We start from the raw sequence: 23,394 nt of genomic DNA on the forward strand, positions 1-23,394 counted from the left end.
CTGCAAATGGCTTTGAAAGCCATAAATTGTAAAATCAATATGCTAAGCTACTGGAAGCCAATGTGAAAAACACAGTGCAGGAGCACTCTCACCATCCTGCCTGGCTCCCCCCAATGCCTGGCATCTGCATTCTGTAAATTAAATTTCAACAGGTTTGGTTTTCTTGCCAAATAGATCTACTGCTCTTACTAGAAAAAAATAATGTTCTTTAAGTAAAGATTTTTTTTTAAAAAAAGAGGGATACCCTTAATATTAGGACAAGCAACAATTTAGCTCTCGATATCAGAAACTGAGCTAAATAACCAAAGCTTAGGATAGAATAAAACGAACAACAATTTAAAAAATGGAATAACAAGAAAAATGAAGAAAGTGAAAGAAATGGGATAGAATAAAAAAGAAATTGAGAAGAGGGAGAGAAAGAGAGACACAGAGACAGACACAGAGAGATGGAGGGAAACTCTGGGAAATAGAATGAAATAAAATGCCATCAACTATTTGCAGTAAAGCTGAGGCTCATAGGACCCTCTTTATATCAGGATCAATAGTGTCCTGAGGTTGGGTGAGATCTCTGAGGTTTTGTCTTGTTCTTCTCCCTCTGTCTCCCTACCCAGGTGGGAGGTCCAAATGCAGTGACCATGTGTGGTCTCCCCAATCCCTCTCCTTCCAGAGCAGATAATGATTCATGTGGGAAGACTAGTTAGTATTTGGACACATCACCATCACTATCCCTGATACTCTTAAAAGGGCAAGGTAAGGAAATATTGAAATTACATCTCATCCCATTGCCTAGACTTCACTTCAGCTCAGGCTGTTTTCAAATAACATAGAAGATATCCAAAGATTCTACATAACGAGTAAAAAACCAAATTCAAAATTAGTTATGTACAGCCAGGTGTGGTGACTCATGCCTGTAACCCTAGCACTTTGGGAGGCCCAGGCAGGCAGATCGCTTGTGCCCAGGAGTTTGAGACCAGCCTAGGCAATGTGGTGAAACCCCATCTATACAAAAAAACAAAACAAAACAAAAAAAAAACTGGTTTGGCATGGTGGCAGGTGCTTGTAGTCCCAGCTACTTGGGGAGCTGAGGCAGGACAATCTCTTGAACTAGGGAGGTCGAGGCTGCAGTGAGCTGAGATTGCACCACTGTACTCCAGCCTGGGCAACAGAGTGAGACCCTGTCTCAAAAAATGAAGTTATTCATTATGAAAAAACCCATATAAAAGGCATGAAGTAAAAAGGCCAAGAAAACAGTAACAATGGCTTTATTTTTATAGAAGCATTAAAAGTATATTTTATCATTCAAATGTTTGTAAAAGATTATATTATTTAAATATTAAAATGACATTTGGTGATATAAAATAAGATGTGCTATAGATTTGTTTTGTTTTGTTTTCCATCCCTCTGCTTCAGGACGAATGTGCTCTTGATTTGGAAAAAAAGTTACCTCCATTCTTTTTATTTAATTTTTTTCTTTAAGTAAAATTTTAATTGATGTGTGATACATAGAAAGAAAAATGCAAAATGTGTAAGTGTACAGCTCTATGAATTTTGCAAAGTGAATATATTATCGTAACCACAACAGTAACCAAAACATTAACACTATACAAAAATTCTTTTGTGGCCCCTCACAGGCTATTTAACCTCTTTCATGTTTATTTACTAATTCTGTGTCCCCCTTTATTATTCTTTTCTAGGGGTTTAAAATACATCCTTTCCTGAATTGTCTTTTTGGTTCATTTTTTTTTATTTGAAAGAAAAAATTTAAAAATCTTATTTATTTAAATGAAAGTAATATACATGGAAAAACCGACACATCAATTATGACTTAATTTGGGCTTCTAGCCTACTAGTTAAACTACATTATATTGTCTAGACTTTTGAAAAAATAAACTCATATTCAATGAGTTTCTCCAAGGAACCTGTCCAATTTTCTCCTACCATTTCAGAGTATAGAATGTTAAATCATTAGGATAAGTAGACAATTACAGATAAATGTTAACAAGCATCACGATTAGAATTACCACTCTGCTAGAAATAAATTTAGTTTTTTTGTGTATGTGTTAATATTCTGTATGTTAAACATGGGCCAAAATAATACTATGTTCCCATTCAGAATAGTTTATATTTGTGAAACTAATATCATCTTATCATCTAGAACATGTAGCATACATGGGAAATAATTCTTACATAAAAAAAGCCTTGTATGTCTGTAGATCAGTCTGTTATTATAACTCTATAAGTGAACACTCTTAATTTGATATATGTATGAACTAGATAGATGCATAAGTCATATACAATGTATTAATATGATATATGTAATACATATACAATATACAAATTTAAAAATTAATACATTTAATAGAAAATATATTTTTTGATTAATGAATTTCTTTTGAAACACACATTCACTCAGTTGTTGGAGTTATAAATGTTAAGCCACAACTTCTAACTGAAATAAAAGTCATCATAATATGCTCTAAATGAATAACTTTCACAGAAATCCTGTGTTCATTACAAAGATCTCCTTGTGTTCCTGATGGATCCTCCAACTTGCTGACACAGACATGTTTTATAAAGTTATTTTTTCATATTGCATTTACAGAGATTTCCATAGAGATTAAAATGCTTTCATTTAAGTTACTATTATTCACTCACTCACGTCCTATCAAAAGCAGTGTTAATCTTGAATTAGTGGTATTTCATTCAGTTAAAGAAAACACTTGACTTCATGCCCCATCCTGAAGGTACACAGAGGCAATATCTGAGTTTTAAATTTATAAATATGTGGGTCTTGGAAACTTGAAGAAATTAGTGCAAAATACTTACATTTCTATTGTGGGCCCGCCATGATAATTCTAGCATAAATAGAGAAAATTTCTGAAAACATTTTGGAAATTTTAATCCAACACCTACCCTGATAGGTGGGCCAGCCAGATGCAGCAAAAAGAAAATGGAGAATGGGGCAAGTCATCGTTGTCACTCCAAAAAAAGGAAGTGTCCTCATTAAATGAAGCTCAAAGCCTAGGCTTTCTCAGAGTGGCCTGGAAGTCTGATCCCTGGAAGGCAGACCAGAATGACTGTCTTCATAGCAACCCTGGGCTGAACAGCAATCTGGCCAAGCATATTACCAACAAAAATCAGGGATTTCAGTAATACGTTAGTATCAGTAATTTGGATGGAAATTAAATTACAACAATTTTCCCCAAAATTTCCTTGATATTTAGCGTTCTTTCAGTTATGAATCTAGGCAACAAACCCATTGCTAATCACTATACAACTATACCATTGTATCAATTGTATTGTAGTAGTTGCAAATATCTTGAAATTTCATTTAAGCTCATCACTGTTTTGTGATCCCAGTAGTTATTAGACCAACTCTGAGAACTTATTATATAATTCGTTGATAAGCATATCACAGTTTTAGTTCTTGATAAATTTATAGCTGAACTTCAGTATTACTGTTTTTGTTTTTGTTTTGTTTTTGTAATCTTACATATTTTACTATATGGACTTTAGAACCCTATTAAGAGAAGGAATGCATAGATTTCACCAAAATACCAAAGGTGTACATGGCTCATAGTCAAGGCACTCAGAATGCAGACCACAAGTTAAGCAGCAGCATCATATCACATAAAGTCTTAAGGTGCAGAGTGATATTCATGGCATACCTGTGTGGCTCTAGTCAGTACCTTAAGCACTCCCTAGGAGATTGCAAACGTGCTAATGTCCACAAAGGGATTGGGAGTGATTGGGTGAAGGAATTATTTACATAAAACACATATGGATAGCTCAAGAAATAATATTTCTCTCCTTTGTCAGCATTAGTCGTCAGCACCTGGTACAAAATTCCTGCTAAAGTAAGTAAACCTGTCATCTCATTGCTGAAGTTATAACGAGATTTTGGGAATCACAGCAGAAAGTACTTCCCCCAGAGGTCATCCTTTCAAACCAAAAAATGGGATTTAGTGAATGATTAGTGACTGCTAAAGATCCAGTGACTGAAGAACTACTACCATGCTTTCACGTTGCTGAGACATAGGGGAGAAATCCTGCCACCCATGCTTCTCATATAGGAGCATTCAATTGTACCCAAATCCTCAAAATTAAGCAGAAAATTTTGATCAGATAGATTTACAGTTAGATTCTGAGTCACATTTAAGAAACATGAACAAGTATTACATACCAAGTGTTGGGGTTCACTAAGTTGAAGATACCATGAGGAGCAAGAAAACTGTCTTGCTGGGTAAGTCCATATTCCCTAAAATTTAAGTGTATTAATTAATTTTGTGACTAGTAGTTATCGGGTGCCTACTATGCACAAGGAACTAATGTGTTGTTCCTACGAAAATAGTGGATATGTATGATTATAGGAATTATAATATCATATAGAAAGGTTTTCTAGCATTATAGAAAAGTTTTTCTTGTACTGATAACATATTGTAGTTGGTAGTCATCATGCATAATCGAAAGGTAATTTTCTTTAGTAGAACTATATGTGTTAAAATGTTTACCTAGGCTGATGAAGATACTAGCCTACATTTGTGGTACATAACAGAGCAAATTCTGTACAGAGAATCACAGGAAACAGTCATATCTAAGTATTAAAGGCACAGGGATAATGTTAAATCTTAGCAAAATATGTGTGGGTGTTAGTGATATAAAAGCTAATTTTAAAAAATGAATTCTGAAAACTGTCCAATTTCTTCATTTTTATTTCAATCTTAATTCACATTTCCTATATTTAAAATTTTAGAGGCGATTATGGGAAGTTTGAAAGTGTTACTACCTATTTATGTGATTAGTGCAATTTGGTAATTAATGTAAATAATTACCATCTAGCAATTGTGGTTTGTTATGTTTTAATAAGATATCTAGAATGTAAAGAGATTTTATGCAACAATAACATTTTTAATTTAAATCTTTAACCATTTAATTTAAATCTAATCAAACTTTTAATTGACTATACCTTGCAAACTGATGGTTGTAGTTCCCTGTTTTGAAATGAAAAAATGTTTTCTTTGTGTCTTGTATAAGCTGATACCGGACATCAGTGTTTGCCTGACCGTGCTATTTCATGGCCATCAATCAAAAGAAAGTAATTGATTTCTCTGGATCTTGGAACACTTCACTTCCCATCACTACTCATTCTTGTGGAATGAGAAACTAGTAAAAAGTGAAACACACACACACAAGTCTATGTTCTCTGTGGTAACATAAAACCATAACTTAATATGTTATTTAGAAAGAAAGTCTTAAGGTAGGTGAATTTCTTGAAGTCACTTTTAGACAAACTTTTGAGTACCACACCAAAACTTGATGTAATCTTCCTACTGAACCATTGTCTTCCATATTGTGTGTGTATAGTACATACATGTATGTACATGCATACTCATATGTACATATATGTATATATGCCTTAGTCTATCTGGGCTCTTATCTTTTAAATACCATAAGCTGGGCAGCTTATAAACAACAAAAATTTATCGCTCACAGTTCTGGAGGTTAGGAAGCCCAAGATCAAGACACCAGTATATTCAGTGTCTGGCAAAGTCCCACTTTGTAGTTCATAGATGGCACCTTCTAGCTGTGTCCTGAAACGCAAAGCAGCTCTCTAGAGTTTCTTTTATAAGGACACTACAGATGCTCCTCAGCTTACCATGGGGTTACATTCCTATAAATCCATCATAAATTGAAAATATCATAACCTTAACAAGCATTTAATACATCTAACCTACCCAACAACATACCTTGGCCTAGCGTGCCATAAATATGCTCAGAACACTTCCATTAGCCTACAGTTGGGCAAAGTTATCTAACACAAAGCTTATTTTATAATCAAGTATTGATGATCATATTTAATTTATTGAATACTGTTCTGAAAGTGAAAAACAGAATGGTTGTATGAATACTTGAGGTATGGTTCCTATTGAATATATATTGCTTCCCACCATTGTAAAGTCAAAAAACTGTAAGTACTGTCATCGTAAGTAAGGGTCATCTGTAATCTCATTCATGAAGGCTCCACCTCCAAAGCCTCCACCTCTGAATACCATCACCTTGGGTGACACTAATGCCTTGGGGGCTTAGAATTTCAACATATGAATTTTGAGTGGACACAGACATTCAGACCATAGTAATATATGTATAAATAATTCTTATCTATATATTAGATATATAGATAAATAGATCTATATCATATATATATATATCTCCTAAAGTTTCTGTTCTTTTCCCACACACTTCCCTACTCTATTATCCCATAAGCATCCTGTAAAGCAATGATAAATATTTTCCTTCTTTTCTTAACGGTTTAAGAAGAATTTTTGGTAAAAGGAACATGCTAATATCTGCAAAATATAGAGCTGTATAATTGAATTATGATACTAATCATTGGGGATATAACAACGAAGAAAGTAATGTCTTTACCCTCAGGGAACTTAAAGTTTAATGGGGGTAAACAGATATGTGAAGAAATAATATGCAATTTCATAAAGAATTCTTGCAAATCCATAAGAAAAAAACAACCAAATAGAAAATTGACAAAGGACATAAATAGGCATTTCCTTTTCACAGAAAAACACAGACACCAGAAACCTATAAAATGATGCTCAACATTATCAGTAATAAAAGAATACGAATTAAGATCATAACAGGATTCCATATGACACCTGCTTGATTTGCAAAAATTCAGAATTTTAACAAGGCCAAGTGTTGCTGAAGATGTGAAATGATGCACACTCATATATTGCTCATGGGAGTGGAAACTGGTACCACCACTTTTGAAACTCTTGCACATTTCTATTAGGAGACATGATTAAAAGTATTCATAGGAGCATAATCCACAGTAGTGTTAAACTGCATATATCTAAATATGTAATTGGTAAATAAATCACAAAATATTTACATAATGGAATTTTAAATAAGCAGTAAAAATTGCTGAACTACAGCTAATTATATTCAACTGAATAAATCTTATAAAATGGTAAAGTCATAAATAAATGAAAAGTGTCATTTGATAACAAACAGAATAATATTTTTAGGAAGTTTAAAGATAGGACGACCTAAACAATATATTAGGAAAATATGCACATGGAGTAAAAACTATATTTTAAAGCAATAAAATAATAAGTAAAGCAAAGCTTAGCATAGCTGTTTCTTCTGGTGGGGAAGGTGGAAGATGGAGTACAGAAGCAGCAATCAGGTGGCTTCCAAGACCGGTAATGTCTAGGTGTTAAGTTATTTTGATGAGTTTTCTGATGTACAGTTTATCATGATGCCTTACACTTTAGTATGCACTGCATATGTTTATTTCTATATATTGTGACACCATGTTTGAAAGGAAACAATTTAAACAAAGTCATTTTGTCACATGGAAATGACTCAAAAATAGCAATCTTTAGATCACATTACAGAAGGGTTGCAGTTCTACTGAAGAGAGAAATCACCTGGAAAAGCTATGTGTAGGTCAGACTAACATTAAAGATAGTAACATGTTAGGCATGGATCAATATAGAAAGTCATATCATGTCTTATGGACACAGTTTTTATTTACCTTAAAAATATGTTTATGTTTCTAGAAAAAGCCTCTTTAAACAATTCTAAAAATATTCAAATTCTCTATTAAATAGCCCTGCTGTGAAATCCAGATGATTTTGTAATCTGCTAAAGTATGGCTGGAGATATATTCTAATGCAATTCAAATTCTACAGAAATTTGTGTGCATGGCATACTATTTTATTTTTCAGTGTTCTGGACTAATGCATCTTTATGGAAAATGATTATATCACAGCATTTTAAAGTAGATAACATGTCTGAAAATAGTCAAAATATATGTAAATCAGTATATCAAATAGGACCTAATGGAATCATTTAAACAGGCTTATTGAAGCTTGACCCATAATTGTGATTGTACCAGTGTGTTGTCAATTTTACTTCCCACTGCTAGTTGATCACCAGAGGACATAAATAGCCATGGAGTGTATAATTGGTGCTGTGTTGCCACAAGTAGTTATTTAAATTCAGCTTCTTTCTACTCCCCTGAAATCATGTGCATTAATAATAATAAACCTGGATGCTTTGGAAATATAATCAAATCTTTAAAAGATGTAAGGTTTTTTTAATATTTTTTTTCCTAAGCCATACTAACCTGTAAACATTCTGTGTTTACATTTTATAAAAGCTAACATTTAAGCCTATTCTATAAGAGTAGGTAATTCTGGTTGTTTTTAGGCACTGCACTGTTTTAAAAATTACTGAGATCAAACATTTCCTTTTTTAAAAGGTATTAGAAACACACTGTTGGATATTTTAAAGCAGGATAGAATGACAACTTTTTTTTTTTACCCCAATTCAGTATGATCTAGCTCTTTGATGAGACTTACTTTATCATTGTGAGATAAGAAACAAGCCTGTCAAACCAATTTGCTAAGGTCACTGTGTCCCTTTCAATCAAGAAAGTTGGGGCTGTAATGTTACTGACCCAGAACTATGCAGGTTGTGCATTAGCATAATGGCTGATCAACCTAATGCATTTTAATGCCATTAACTTTTCCCCATCCCCTGGAAGGAAAAGAAAATATAAAAAGTTACAATTTTAGATTTGTCATTGGTAGATTATCTTTTTCCTAAATTTCATAGACTAAAAGTGAGTGAAGGAAGCTGCATGCACTTATTCTGGCTAAAGTCCAAATTGAGAGGTAGATTACTGAAAAGAAAGGTGAAGACAACAGTTCAAAATATCTCACCCATGCCCTGCCCCACCTACCTTAAGCTTAGTAGGCAAAAATGAGGTCTCACAAATAGTAATTCTGTCTTTAATGCAGCAAAAATGGTTAAGAATTTTCTGGGCTTTGAAAAAGTAAAATGTGTATCTATCATATGGTTGTTTAACAGGCCACATTCCGGGGACCAGTAGCAAGCATGTGATGTAAGCAAATGCTGGGAAGAGGTTGAACTAACATGAGAAATGGGCAAAAATCCCATTAAAAAAACAGATTACTATAGACAAGCAGATTCAGAATTAATGCAAGTAAGATGAGTCATTATCGAAGGTTGTTGAAATTAAGAGGGCAAAACTATTGGCTATTTGAAGCAATAGTTTAGTAAGAGGAGGTAGAAGCATCCACTCTGAGTCAGAAATCTTTCTCAGCAAAACCTGTCCTGTAAACCTGCAACACTCTCCCTGAAGAAGTTGCCCTGATGAGTTTGGAGCAATTGGATCTCTAAGCCTCAGGCTTACTAGGTAGATTGTAACCTCTCTCTATACTCTTTTTGTGTCTTCCTTGGTTCTGGTAAGGCCACAGTTGGAGTCAGATGAGAAGGCCACCTACTCTAAACTGACTCCAGGTTGCACCAATGTGGTACTGCCACCTACTTCTTGAAGCTTTTCTTTTATATATATATAAAAATATATAATTTTTTAATTTTTTTTGAGATGGAGTCTCGCTCTGTTGCAGAGGCTGGAGTGCAGTGGTGCCATCTCGGCTCACTGTAAGCTCCGCCTCCCAGTTTCACGCCATTCTCCTGCCTCAGCCTCCTGAGTAGCTGGGACTACAGGTTCCCACCACCACGCCTGGCTGCTTTTTCGTATTTTTAGTAGAGACGGAGTTTCACCATGTTAGCCAGGATGGTCTCTATCTCCTGACCTCATGATCCACCTGCCTCGGCCTCCCAAAGTGCTGGGATTACAGGCGTGAGCCACCGTGCCCGGCCTTCTTAAAGCTTTTCTTAATTCCACTCATTGATTGTGGCCTTTCTCTTTTCCAAATCTCTGTTGTACTTTGTAGTAAGTATTATACTCCAGTTTGTGTTATAATTAGTTTTGTTTTACCTTTACTAAAGATTCTAGCTTTCCCAAGAGTTGGAATTGCAGATAATTTGTATACTCATGCTGTACTACCTACTACAATGGCCTGTTGAGCTGAATACAATTCATTATTCGATACCATGAAAATATATTAATCTGGCTTAATGATTATGATAATGGCATTTGAGTTTGTCTAGGTTCTTCTTAAGATAAAGATAATTTACAAGAACTGTCATGTCTGAGACTATAATAACATCCTTTCTCTGATAAGTGTTATGTGTAGCATATAAAAATAGTAATTAATCATTTCCTTTTTTAACTAGACTGAAATTAAAAATAAAGGATATTGGTAACATTTAGAGATAAAAATAATAAGCACATAAGAACACCCAATTCTATCCTGAGCTCTTTAATTGCATTATTATTGGCTGTGGACAAGCTTTCAATGTCCCTTTCATTTGATGTACATTTTAAGTATTTATCTTACCCTTAAAAATCCCTTGGAGAGTCAATATGGCCACAACTGGGAAATAAAATATTCTTGGGGACGCATACGTGCTATTTCTTAGTCTTGGAAGATTTTCTGGAAGAGGTGAGTCCTTGGAACATTTAACAAGATAAGTTTTAGCAAGTTATATTTCATAAGATTAGTTTTACATGTTTATTTAAGTTAGAACTTTCAAATGATAGAGATTTATACTTCCCTAATTTCAGGAGGCAAGTATAGCTCTGCTCCATAAAGTGCTGAGGATTCCATGTACCTTCCAGCCATCCACTTGGCCATCCTAGGTCTAGTCTTTGTTCTTATATTGCAAGTTTGTAAATGTAGCTTCAGCCATTACACTCAATGTCCGTTCAGCAGGATAGAGGCAAAGACAATTTAAACAGTTACAGAGGTCGGAGCACTAGTATGGTTTAAGGAAGGGTCCCAGAAGCTGACACACAGGACATTTCTAATTGCATTTTTTGACCTAAATTAATCACATGGTCACACAACACAAAACAGCCTGATAAAATAGTTTCACTTCAGATGGATATATGTACTCAGGCAAAACTCAGGTGTTTTACTTTTGTGGAAGGAGTGTGGATATTAGAGGACACCTAGCAGCCTCTGCAAAACACAGTACGCATTAAAATAAAGTATTTAAAAAATAAATTAATGGAATGACAATAGAGGAAGCAACAAGATCTTAATGATTTTTGCAATTTGTAATACCAGATTTATTTACTGTCACTTAAAAGAGATATCCATTTATCAACATTTTAAAAACTATCAGGTAACACTTCTATTGAAATAGGGATACTATACCTTACAACGGACAGCAGATCCCAGGGCCTATTGGAAAATCATTTAATAAGTAAAATAGTAGCAGTATATTAAGGCCAGGGGCAGTGGCTAACAGCCTGTAATCCCAGCACTTTGGGAGGCCGAGGCGGGTGGATCAAGAAGTCAAGAGATCGGGACCATCCTGGCTAACATGGTGAAACCCCGTGTCTACTAAAAATATGAAAATTAGCTAGGTGTGGTGGCATGCACCTGTTTTCCCAGCTACTCAGGATGCTGAGGCAGGAGAATCACTTGAACCCAGGAGGCAGTGGTTGCAGTGAGCCGAGATTGCCCCACTGCACTCCAGCCTGGCGACAGAGCAAGACTCCATCTGAAAAAAAGACACTCGACTGGGCGTGGTGGCTCACGCTTGTAATCCCAACACTTTGAGAGGCCAAGGCAGATGGATCACCTGAGTTCAGGAGCTTGATACCAGCCTGGGCAACATGGTGAAACCCTGTCTGTACTAAAAATTCAAAAATTAGCTGGGCATGGTGGCAGGCACCTGTAATTCCAGCTACTCAGGAGGCTGAGGCATGAGAATCGCTTGAACCCAGGAGGCAGAGGTTGCAGTAAGCCAAGATCGTGCCACTGCATTCCAGTCTGGGTGACAGAGCGAGACTCCATCTCAAAAACAAATACGAAAAAGTAAAATAAAATAAAATAAAAGGCACTGTGGAAACCTGAGCATGTTAGCATCTATCTACAGGAATTAAATGTTGTCCGTGAGAATTAAGCTGACTGATATATACAATTTTGTATTTTGTTTAGGGAAAATGAATTGCACTAGATACTATTTTCAGCATGATCACTTGAAGATATAAGTAAAATATTAATATATTATAATATTCCGTTCATAGGAAATTTTTCTTCTGGTCTAGCATAAGAAATCTTTGATTTGACTTGCATTTTAAATTATGGGCAGGAAGCAGTTCATATGCATGATTCTTGTATTATAAATTATATTCTAATTGCCTAACCTGTCAAGTTTCTATACTGCTAAATATTCAGGGGAAGCAAAGGGAAGAAAACCTCATTATATACAGAACTGTATTTAAATGAATTCTCTGATAAGGGAAAGTTTACAAAGCCAGCTTCTATGAACTTATGGAAATTAATGAGTATTCAAAAATATATTTGTGGTTTTTTATTGTAAATAAATAATAGCTCAATTATAAAACAAATAATAAATCATTTGTGTTAGCCTATTCATTTCATTTTATATTTAAATTTCCAAAATAAGACAGAAAACCACGTATTTTTTTCCTATTTTCACCATCAGTAACAACAAGACATTTTATTTCTATTTTGTGCACTGTGTTTGGGATTTCTGCAAAGTACATTAAAAGAAGCATTGAGCTGTATTTCCCAAGAACTTAAAGTCATTTTCAAGTAATAATTTTCATCATGGAAATTCTTATAGGTAGCATGGAACTTTTACTCATATTTTCTTTATCTAGAATACTTTTCTCAGTCTACTCCAATTCCCTTTGCTCCTGTCGTGCCTCCAACATACACCCTTTCCTTAAAGCAAATCCTACTTAACTTTCAAGATCCAGCATACATGTCATTGCCAAAATGTTTTATGCTGTCCCCACCTAGAAGCCACGCCTGCCTCTTTGCCCTTCACATAGGCTATATGATAGATTAAATAATCTACTTCATCTATCATATAGCACAAAAATGTTTTTTTGTTATAGTACTTTTATCTTCATCTTATTTATCCTATTAGATGACTCATTTCTTGAGCACCAGTCTCTATGTGATTAACTTTGGTACCACCATTGTCCCCACCTAGCATGGGGTGCCCAGCACATAGTGAATGCTCAAAAAATGAAATGCAATAGCCATAGATGCAAAAGAGAAAAAAAAGAACTTAAATCAATACTATCTTTAATTTGCATCTTCATGAAATTATATATGTGGGCTTTCTTAGTCCCAAATGTTTTATTTCCTCTGAGTGTTCCATTATAATAATTTTCTCAATTAGAAACTACTGTAGGAGGTCAGAAATTCTCTCTAATATGAATTTTTGGTATGAATCAAAATTTTATTTGGACTAAGAGCATAGTCCAGAAGTGGGAAGTGATTACTTATTCTGTGGCTTACAAAATTTCAGAAAGGAAAGGCAGAGATAGGTACACACTGTGCTTAGCATATAATCTTCACCAATCATCTTTTACATAAGTAAATGTTCATGTCCCTTAGGTACTTTGCATTGCCATAAATATTTTAATAGTACCTATTCTTTTCTTTTCTTATGTAATAAAGTACAGTGTGTTTTGGGGGATAATCTAACTTGATGTTATGCCCTCACTATTGGGGCATTATCGCAAAATTCTTGAATGTAGTCACAATTTTTAGAAATTCCCAGGTATTTGTACTTCTTTGAAATTCTTCGTAAGACCACTATTTGGGCAAGATGTTGAAACACTTTAAATATCTAGGGTGAGTCAATGCAAAAAAGAAATGAACAAACCAACCAATCCAATAAGCAACAATAACAACAGCAAAATTAAAATTATGTTTGAGTTATACAACATTATAAAAAATGCAGAATTTCACCAGTTAGATAACTTGCTATTTTTGCTTCATTTGGTTGATCAACTTTGCTTTTCTAAATATGTGTCTGGGAGTTATGATTTAAATTATATTTATTTATATTATATATTTAAATTAAATTATATTTAAATGTATGGTTTAAATATTATTGAGAATATTCTACCTATAATGCCAATGTCTATGAGTAAATATTTACTTTTGATTCACTTTCCATTCTATTGTACTACAAATAATGGTTAAATCCTATATTTGACTTCTGGCTAGAATTTGTCCTTTTTGTGTGAAAAAAAAATACAATGTCTACTCTAACAGGCTTCATAAGAACTCATCAAATGTATACCCTAAAGCTATATTTTGAGGGTTTTGTTTGTTTAAGTAAGGTTACTTACTCTAGAATCTGTTAGTCCATGTTCTTTGTTTCTTGGCTATACCACTCTTTATGCTTTGACATACATCATCTTGGGGAACAGACTCACGGCACAGTAATGACCTTGCCAAGGACCAAGAAGTGTTTCTTACAGAATTATAATTTCTTGTAACTCAATTTATGTGATTACTGTGTAAAACAGAACTTGTTCAGCAATGATGGATGGCAATGCTGCAGGTATTGACTGATCTTTAGAAATATTTATATGACAGGTCCCTTAAGATTTTGTACATCGTAGAAGAGAATAACTGCATGCAGAAAAGATGAGTTGTGATTGAGGTTCCTGAGCAATGCAATTTATTATCATATTTCTTCCATGCCCAGTCTAAAAGCTGAACATTTGCCAATGCAATGGCAACAAGCAGCATTTAAATAAATGCCCTCTTCCCTTTCAGAGCATCACCTTCACAAGAAAATACTTATAGTTTTGAAAAACATAAACTGAAATTATTTGTAAAAGTGAAGAATATATTTAAAATAAAAATCTGCTTGAATTATTTAGCTTGTAGACTTAACATGTCCTTTGATAGGTTCCTTGCCTGGGAACTGCAGATATGCTTAGACACACAAACGTAAGAAACTCGATAAGCCAATCCTGACAATTCTACTTTGTTTATAGAATTTCATTCCATGCTCTAGGGAATAATATATTTCGCACTGTATTCCCCTGGGTGTTTCAAATTTTTAAAAATCTTCATTTTTAAAATTTAATTTTCGTTAAATATTCATTTGGGTGACTAGAAGAAAAATGTTTTGACTAAGTTAAAGTTTTTCAGAAGCATATACTTTGATATTGTTTCCTCCAATCAATTAGGCATGGCATAGACACAGAAAAACAATCTGTAGAAAGAATACAGTGTTTTTAACAAGTTCTTTGAGTCATCTGGACAATGAGATGTAATCAGAAAACATCTTTTAGTCCCTAATGCCTCTTTAAAATTTATTCAGTGGAAAGAGTTCTCTAGCCAACGGTTGGAAATGTGGGAAGCCTATGGCTGTTACTGTGTTTAAGTAGCAAACTCGGTCCCATATAATATCCAATTCTGTATATCAAAACCCTGATTTATTTTTTTTTTCCTTCCCAAGCTGGGTCCTGCTAAAAGCTGGCTGTTAGCTTAGAGACAATAGGGTATTGCCTTTCTCCTCTCCTTCCCCTATGCTAAGCTTTCACTCCTTTCTTTCATCCTTTTGTTAACTAAGATTTCTGGCCTCAACAGGGTTGCAGAAGGATTAAGAGGAGAGCAGAGGGGAGGGGTAGGACAGTTTTTACTAGACTGGCAAGAAGGCTCTATCTTCCCTAGGTCTAGCAGGTATTTAAGCTCTCTTATGAGAGACTGGGGACTGTCACCTATAGTTCTCTTGGTCTAGATGAAAGTTTCTCTAGTCTAGTTGGTTGCTTACTCCTTCAGCAACATCCAGGAACTCAGCAATACATTTCCAGCTTTGGTGTGCAGTGTCTTGCCCCTTCAGGTAGCTCTGTGGAAGAAGACTGCATGTTCTTTTCTTGAACAAAACTATGAGTATGCAAGCTAATTGCCACACGTCGGCTACTCTGCTAAACTCCAGCACCAAAGCAGTTAGGGAGCTTCTTTGCTACTAGATTTCCTGAGTAGGTGCTGGACTCTAATTTTATTTGTATCTACCAACTTCAGAGGACACACATACAGGCTTTCCCAGTGGTACCATTGAATCTTGTCTCTCTTGATGTGAGGTGAAGTGGGAATCGCTCTTCCTTCTTCCTTGGTGGGAACAGTTAGACTCACAGCACAATTCTGTCCAGGAAATAATCTCTGCATATCTTGTACCTCAGATTTACTTTCCTAGCTATTTTATATGTTTGAAGTAGGTAAAAGGAAACTGGTTTTTCAGTTTTTATTTACCCAGTTTGAAGTACTTGCAAGGAATGCCCACTAATCTGTTATCTATTGCCTTAGGGTCTAGACTGAAACATCCATTTAAGAATCTTGTTAAAGTAAATATAATCTACTGAACTTCAGCCTTTTAGTAGTTCTTTTGCAAACATCCTAAAATGGATCAAATAAGAAAAAAGCAAGGGAGGTGGAAGAGGAAGTTCATATGTTGGAAGCATATTGTGTGATTTTGCTACAGTTTTCCATTTTATTTATGAAACAACAAATGACATTTAAAATGTGGCATTAAATGCTATGGTTAAGATAAGAGTGAAAGTAATCCATGCTAATATTTCAGAGTTTACATTTCAAAATTTGAGATTACAAATTAGTCTCTAGAGTGAGAGAGAGAGAGAGAGAGAGAGTTGAAAGCCATGGCCAAGAAACAAGGAGGTAAATGCAGAGACTTGTATGTACTTTTTTCAGTCACTTTCTAAGTCTCAAATTCTTTTAAACATAAGTGTTCCAAACTTTCTGTCTCCCTTTGCAACATCCTCCCTCATATTATTTTTCATTTTTCCACCACTTCTCTTTCCTTGACCCTTCTGCATTGTGTCCTTTGCCTTCGTTATTTATTTATGAAGATGATGAAAGCTTGCCCACGATTCTGCTCATAATTCCTCAGTATCCTCTATATTTAGTTCCGTCTCGATCCCAGAGCCCCAGCTCTTTAAAACTAAAAAGATTCTAGATGTTCATACATACACGTCAGTAGGTCTACTTTATATGAAGCCTGTGGCTTATTCAATTTGGGGGGAGTCACTTTACGCAATAGAATACAAAATAATGAATATAAAATAAAGTTCAAGGCCTTTGGAAGGGACCCTTTCAAGCAAGGGACCCTGAAGTTTCATTAGCTTCACCGCAAATCCGCCTCTGCATCCATATATAAAAAGCCTTGAAAAATCTTTTGCTCCTTTCTTGTATCGTTCTAAAACAGTCATAATTAGATAGCTGCTTTGCTATGCTTTCCCTTAGGTTATATAAGAATAAATAATGAAAGAGATTTGTTAGTTCAGATCTTCAAGATCTGATTCTTAAGTGGGTGTTAAATATAAAAGCTACATCCCAGTAATTAAGTAACTCTTTTTGGTATGCACAAATATATTATAGTGTACAAAAACATAATTTTGGCTCATTCAACACCCTCACTTATATAACTAATAATGGTGCCAAAGTGGTATTACTATGTCTCTTAAAATAATTCTTTAGTTCAAAACATGCAATAAATAGAATGATTTTTGAGTTATCAGAGAGTCCCTTATTAGGCTAACAAAATTACTTCAACACAGTGAAGCGTGGAACATGCTAGCTTTCTTTTGTTTCATTATTATTTTACATAAACCTTAAAATTATAAACTCAAGTATGTGGATCTATTTTTATCATTCATTGAAAAAAAGCCTTTATACTGCTTCTTATTGTAAATACCTAAATTTACAATGCTTGTCCTTCATCTTATATTTGATGGCAGTTAATTGTTAGTTGGTTTTAATTATACATCATAGTCTTTGTTCTGGAGACAATCCAAAGAGTAGATCATCTTGGTGTGTAATTTACTGAAAGTTTCTAGGCAGCCTGCCATACTAAAGACCATGTGGTACAATTGTCATTAAAATTAGAAAAATATTGGTATACATGTTTGAATTAAGGATTAGAGGGTGGCTCTATAAATTATGGAAAGCTCTGCAAAGTATTAATAAGGTTTGAGTTCAGCCAAAGCCTAATTTCCAAAGATCTTTACAATACACAGATGCATTTTTTTTGTACCTGTGGTAAGTTTTTGGTGAATGTTGCTTCTGCTTGTAGAATTCCAGATCACTCATGAATATCGGTATACTCTTTTTTAGCACGTGAGTAGGTGGGTAAATATTGTTAGTGTTTGGATATTGGATAAGACACTTAGAAATATTGTTGCACTTACAAAATATAAAGCACTTTTGCTTTTAAAAATAAAGGGCCCAAACTCTGGTTAATATTTTCTTTAGTTACAGGTAACAGTTTTTCAAATTTAAAAAGTGCTCAGACAGTATTTAAAGACATATATGTATTCTCATGAAATATAAAAGAACTGCTCTGCTAGCTACCATTGAATAATGTAATTAAACACTATTTTATTTTTATTATTTTATTTTCAAAACTCAGTAAAAGTATGTCAGGTGAAGACTGGCGTGAGGTGGCCAAAGATAACAACATTCTGTAACCTTCTAAATAGAAGATGAGTCCTCCCTCCCTCTTCCCCTTAACATCTATCTTAGGAATCTTCAAAAGCAAATCTCAGGGCAGAGTACGAAGGAAAAAAAACAAGACGGAGAAACAGAATTTGTATTTCCTATAGTAAAGCATTCAGTTGCAAATGAAACACTGCAAAACTTAAGGGTTTTTCTTTATTTTAGTGTTATGCCAAAGCTATATTCTTTTATAGTAAAATATAAGGAAATATAGAGAAACGGCATGTTTGTAATAAAATAACAATGACAAAAAAGAAACCCTGTGTATTTGTGTTTGCTCAAATCAGATTTTATCATGTCATTGAAAATGCTAAGTTTCAGGGGTCTTTTAATATGATCTCTTGCCCATGGACCTGTTTTAGCTGACACACTCTCCAGCTTTGATGGTTACTCTATGGGCCTTGCTAAACCCAGAGAGATATTAGAATAAGCTATGAATAGCTGTACAGTGGTAAGAATTCTGGACTCAGAGTCAGTGCAACACATAAATAAGAAAAAAGTACTATTAGAGAAGAGTAGGGTCATAAGGCCTGACCTGCTCACTTCTGTCTAATTTTACATACCATTATGTGGCTGGGTGCAAGTTGTTCTTATAACATACAATCCCCTGTCTAACCTTTTTGAAAACAACACATTTGACATTCAAATATATTTTATTTTCAAGAAAATTAAATACATTTATTATTTAATTTAATGTTTTTATTATTTTGTATTAATAAAACAATTTTAAAAGTATTTATTGTATTTTCTTCCAATACTTTAAACTGTTTGTTAATTTTAAACCATTTAAGGAAAAAACACAATCTTACCTTCCTTTTCAAAGCCAGAGGGAGGTGCAAGCTGTGATTTTTGAAATTTTTTTTTCTTCTAGTTTAAAGAGGAAATACATAGAGAGTAGGTATATTAAAAAGTGAGTAGTATGGAACTCTAACTTCATGTAATAAATATTGAGTTCGATCCAAGTGCCAAAAATATGCTAGATGGTGGGTACACAAAGATAAATATGAATCATATCCTTAAGCAGCATATAGCCAAAGACAGTGGCTGGTTAATTAGATTAGAGCACCATACGAAATGATGCTGAGATCACAGATTCCACTTATGGACCAATTAGCTCCTCTTTGTTCTATGGCCATAGATTGCATACAGATGAGATACTTTCATGGTTTTGTGCATTTTTACTCTATCTCTTGCCAAAAAGAATTTGAAAGAGCACACAGCAAAGACAAACATAGTACTAAAACTCTGTAAGGTAACAGAAAAAGCTTTTGAGACCCTATTCATTAGACCAAACTTACAAAACATTTATTTTCATTTCAGTCTATGGAAGTCATGGAAACAAACGTACTGATGAACTTAGTAATCTGGAAAATATTTAAAGCTGTCAAATGGTTGTAGTAAAGAAAGTGAACAATTCCCTAATTCATTTGTTAGGAAGCGAGTGATAAATATAGAATCTAGTTTTCATATAACGGATGCAATACAAAGATAACACTTTGCAGAATTGAGATTTCTTAGTTGTAGCTAAACTATCTGTAGACAGAATTTTTTTCACAATAGAATTTCTAGTTAAGTTCTCTCTAATTTTTTTATTTAATTACTATCCATGTTGTTTACTGAAGTCTTTAGTAGTCATCCTTTTATTTATTTATTTTCTGAAGAAAGCCCACAAAAAAGAAAGAGCCAAGGATTGTATTTCTGACTAAATTTTATAGGGTACACCTGTGCATTTACATGTATATTATTTATTACATGGACATTATGATAAATTAACTAGTTAATTTAGTCAGTTCAGTTGAACATTTATTCAAAATGGTTATTCAGTCTTAAGTAGAACACAAATGATCATAGACCACATTCTTCCTCTTTTAATCAATATATTAAACATTTTAAGGAAAGAGAGTTTTTCTTAGTCTGGTTCTTCTAACACAGACTTCAAAAGGATAGCAGGATGGAGAAGCTAGATATATAACATATCCTTTTATGAATAGGATTTATAGTACTTTACAAAATTTATGGAGAGTGGAGACATCTGTTGACTTTTCTGTGTTAACCTATGTGGCAGAGACTTCTAGTTACCCTCACTACCTGTTCTCTTCTTCACTACTAATACTGCCTTGATTTTCAGCTGGACTTATGGCTACATGGGTAAAGACTACCTCTTTCAGCCTTCCTTGCAGTTAGGTGTCACCAAGGGATAGATTTCTGGCAAATGGGATGTAAGCAGAAGTCTTGAATGTGCAATTTATAAATTTTCCTTATGGAATGTGAACATGCCCATTGCTCTTCCTCCTTCGTCTTGGTTGGAATGCAAATATGATGACTACTGCCGCAACAACTATCTTAGAATATGAGGTGACCTTAAGAAGACTACATGTTATGCAGTATCAAGATAGAATATGTCTGGATTTCCTATACCCTCAGGCTCCTAGTAGCCCTACACCTCCTGAATTTTCAGCCTTTGGGTGAGAAGAAATAAATTCTTATCTAACATAAAACACTGTTATTTTAGATTTTCTTTGCTTACACTAAAACCTGATAATTAAACAACCCATTAAAAACATTTCTACATAATGTGACTGTATTATTTCCTATGTTTAAGTTGATTTTTATGGCATTTCATAAAAAAAAAGCTCACTGGGAGGGTAAATGCCAGATATTTGAAAGTTTATTCTGAAGCTATATTTTCATTAATTTAATGATAAGCTTATCTTCTTTAGAGTTAAGAGGTATTAAGAGTCTATATTGCCATTTTGATCATTTTAATGAATTTCAAAGGCTTTTTTTTTCTTTATTAGCTGCCGTGAAAACTAAGGCACATTTACAAGATTTTAATTAGTGTATTATTGTGAAACAAAACCAATCAGCAGAAAGAATTGGACGTGTTTTTCTTCTTTTTAAATTTGTTACTTTAGAACAAAAATTATTTCTTATAATTAAAAAGAATCACTTTTTATTATGAATATCATGTTCTTTGCTGATGTCTAGAGTTTAATATTCTGTTAGAAAGCTGCCTTCTAAAAATCATTGTTACATATTTCTGTTATCTGGGAGTTGAAATTTCCAGTCAGAAACGGGTATATAACACTTTCTGAATCTTTTGTTATTTTTTGTAGCATCCCAGATGAGATGATAGATTTTGGTTTCATACTCAAAGGAGATTGCCAGAAAGATGTTTTCAAGGAAGGTAGCTGTAGATATAATTCTCCCATTTATTCTGCCCTCTGACTATAACACACTACTTATTCGCATTATGATGAAAAGAAATAAAGTGTTTTAAATATTAAATCATATCTTCCAAAATGATTGCTCTAGTACCTTTCACTAATGTTCTAAAAGGAAGCCAAAGTCAAAATCAATGGGAAAAAAGTGCAAATACCTCAAGTTTCAAAAGGCCTGTTTTAATTCTTCACTGCATAATGTTAATTTATTTAAAAATTGGCCTGAATAATATGTAAAATAATCCTTATGGATTATAGAAAGCCTATTTTGCCACAAATATGACATATTTTTTCTGCCAACATTGTGGCATCTACCGATGCTGTCACTGAGGCAAAATAGATGAATCCACTTTTATCCTCCAGATACACACTTTTAGATTGGAAGTTGCCTTTCACGATTTTTTTTTTTTTTGGACATCCTTTTTAAAGAAAGGAGTGGTGAACAGACTGCTTTGCCCTCAGCTGCACCATTTCCAGAGACTGGTGCTGATTGCAATATTAGAAACAAAACGTATTTGTGAATATGCAAGTAATATAAACTACCAAAATGGGAAGGAGGTATTACTGCCAACAGTTTTCAAAGCAGCATATAGACTATATTAATTTAAAACTGATTTTACTTGTAATTATATTTATAATGTAAGAGTGTTAGGTAACTCTCACAACCAATGGGAACTGAAGGAGTGATGACTACTAAATGTGATGTGGTATTCTGGATGGGATCCTGGAACAAAAAAAATAATATTAGGTAAAAAACGTAAACATTTGAGTAAAGTATGGACTTCAGTTAATAATAGTCTATCACTATTGCTTCATTAATTATACAAATGTGCCATAAGAATATAAGATGTTAATAATGGGGAAAACTGGGTTTGGGGTATATATGTATATACGCTCTGGAATCTTTGTAAATCTTCAATACATGTAACACAATTCTAAAATGAAAAGTGCATTTTAACAAATATTTTATTACATTATCCAGAGATAGATATTCAAAAGTAATCTCTTATCCGGGGTTGAATTGCCATTTAAATTTACTAGCTTCACAGAGCTCAAGTTTCTTACTTCTTTTGGCAACACACCACAGCGGTTCTGTGGCTTTTTAACAGTCAAATGCTGTCTTAATTTTGTTGTTGATTTTGACATTTATTTTATTTGTACATGGAATAAGAGCTGTGCCATGAGATATTAAGTTGCTACAATAGTTTTGTGTTGTTTACTTCAATGCAACTGAAACAGAGTTTTCCGTTGCAAAATTATTTGCCAATTCACTTCTATTCATGTACTCGAAATGGATTTTGCCTTTTGTTGTGAAAATAATTTCCACAATTCCTTCAATAAGGAATACAATACCTAGGAATCAATGTTTTGATACCATCTATTATAGGATAAGCTTTGGTTCATTCTTCTAGCCAAACACTTGCCAAATAATGGAGCTATGGAATAGCCGTTGTGCAAATACTCTCTCTACATCATTGGACATCTAGCCACAAGACCCTACAGGAAGCAATCCCTTTTCCCCCTGTCATTTCTTGTGCTTCAGTATTTTAAGTTTGATATTCACACTTCCTTATGTGACACAAATCCCCTAGTACATGCTTCGCTAGCGCTAATATTCTTGCTGAGAAGGCTTAAGTCATTCCTAACCCTAAAGACTCTCCTGTCAGTGAAATAGGTTGATTATAGCATATTAAGTACAACATATTCTAGCTGTCAGAGACACTAGATGCTGTTCTAAGCACTCTGCATACATTAAAGTTCATGTTTAACAAACTTCTTGGCATTGACACTACTATTAGCTAAATTGTAGAGAAGAAGAAACTGACTCCAGAATGTTGAATTCACTTGCTTAAGATTACCAATTATGAAGTAGTGGAAGGTTTTGAACCCCTGTAGTCTGACTTCAAATTCAT

At 34.0% G+C, this 23,394-nt stretch overlaps 1 protein-coding gene across 2 annotated transcripts in view, besides 1 other annotated feature; it reads left to right on the forward strand.

Moving 5' to 3' along the window:
* Window positions 1–23,394, forward strand: part of KCND2 (potassium voltage-gated channel subfamily D member 2) — a 477,430-nt gene that overhangs the window by 214,105 nt on the left and 239,931 nt on the right. The gene's annotated exons all lie outside the window — the stretch shown is intronic.
* Window positions 14,972–15,593: an enhancer, noted in NCBI's record as "OCT4-NANOG hESC enhancer chr7:120142038-120142659 (GRCh37/hg19 assembly coordinates)". NCBI's record gives its function as "activates a minimal SCP1, AML or CMV promoter by ChIP-STARR-seq in primed H9 embryonic stem cells {active_cell/tissue: H9 hESC(primed)}" and the evidence as "EXISTENCE:reporter gene assay evidence [ECO:0000049][PMID:30033119]".

This window comes from Homo sapiens, chromosome 7 (assembly GCF_000001405.40).
Source record: "Homo sapiens chromosome 7, GRCh38.p14 Primary Assembly".
NCBI lineage: Eukaryota > Metazoa > Chordata > Mammalia > Primates > Hominidae > Homo > Homo sapiens.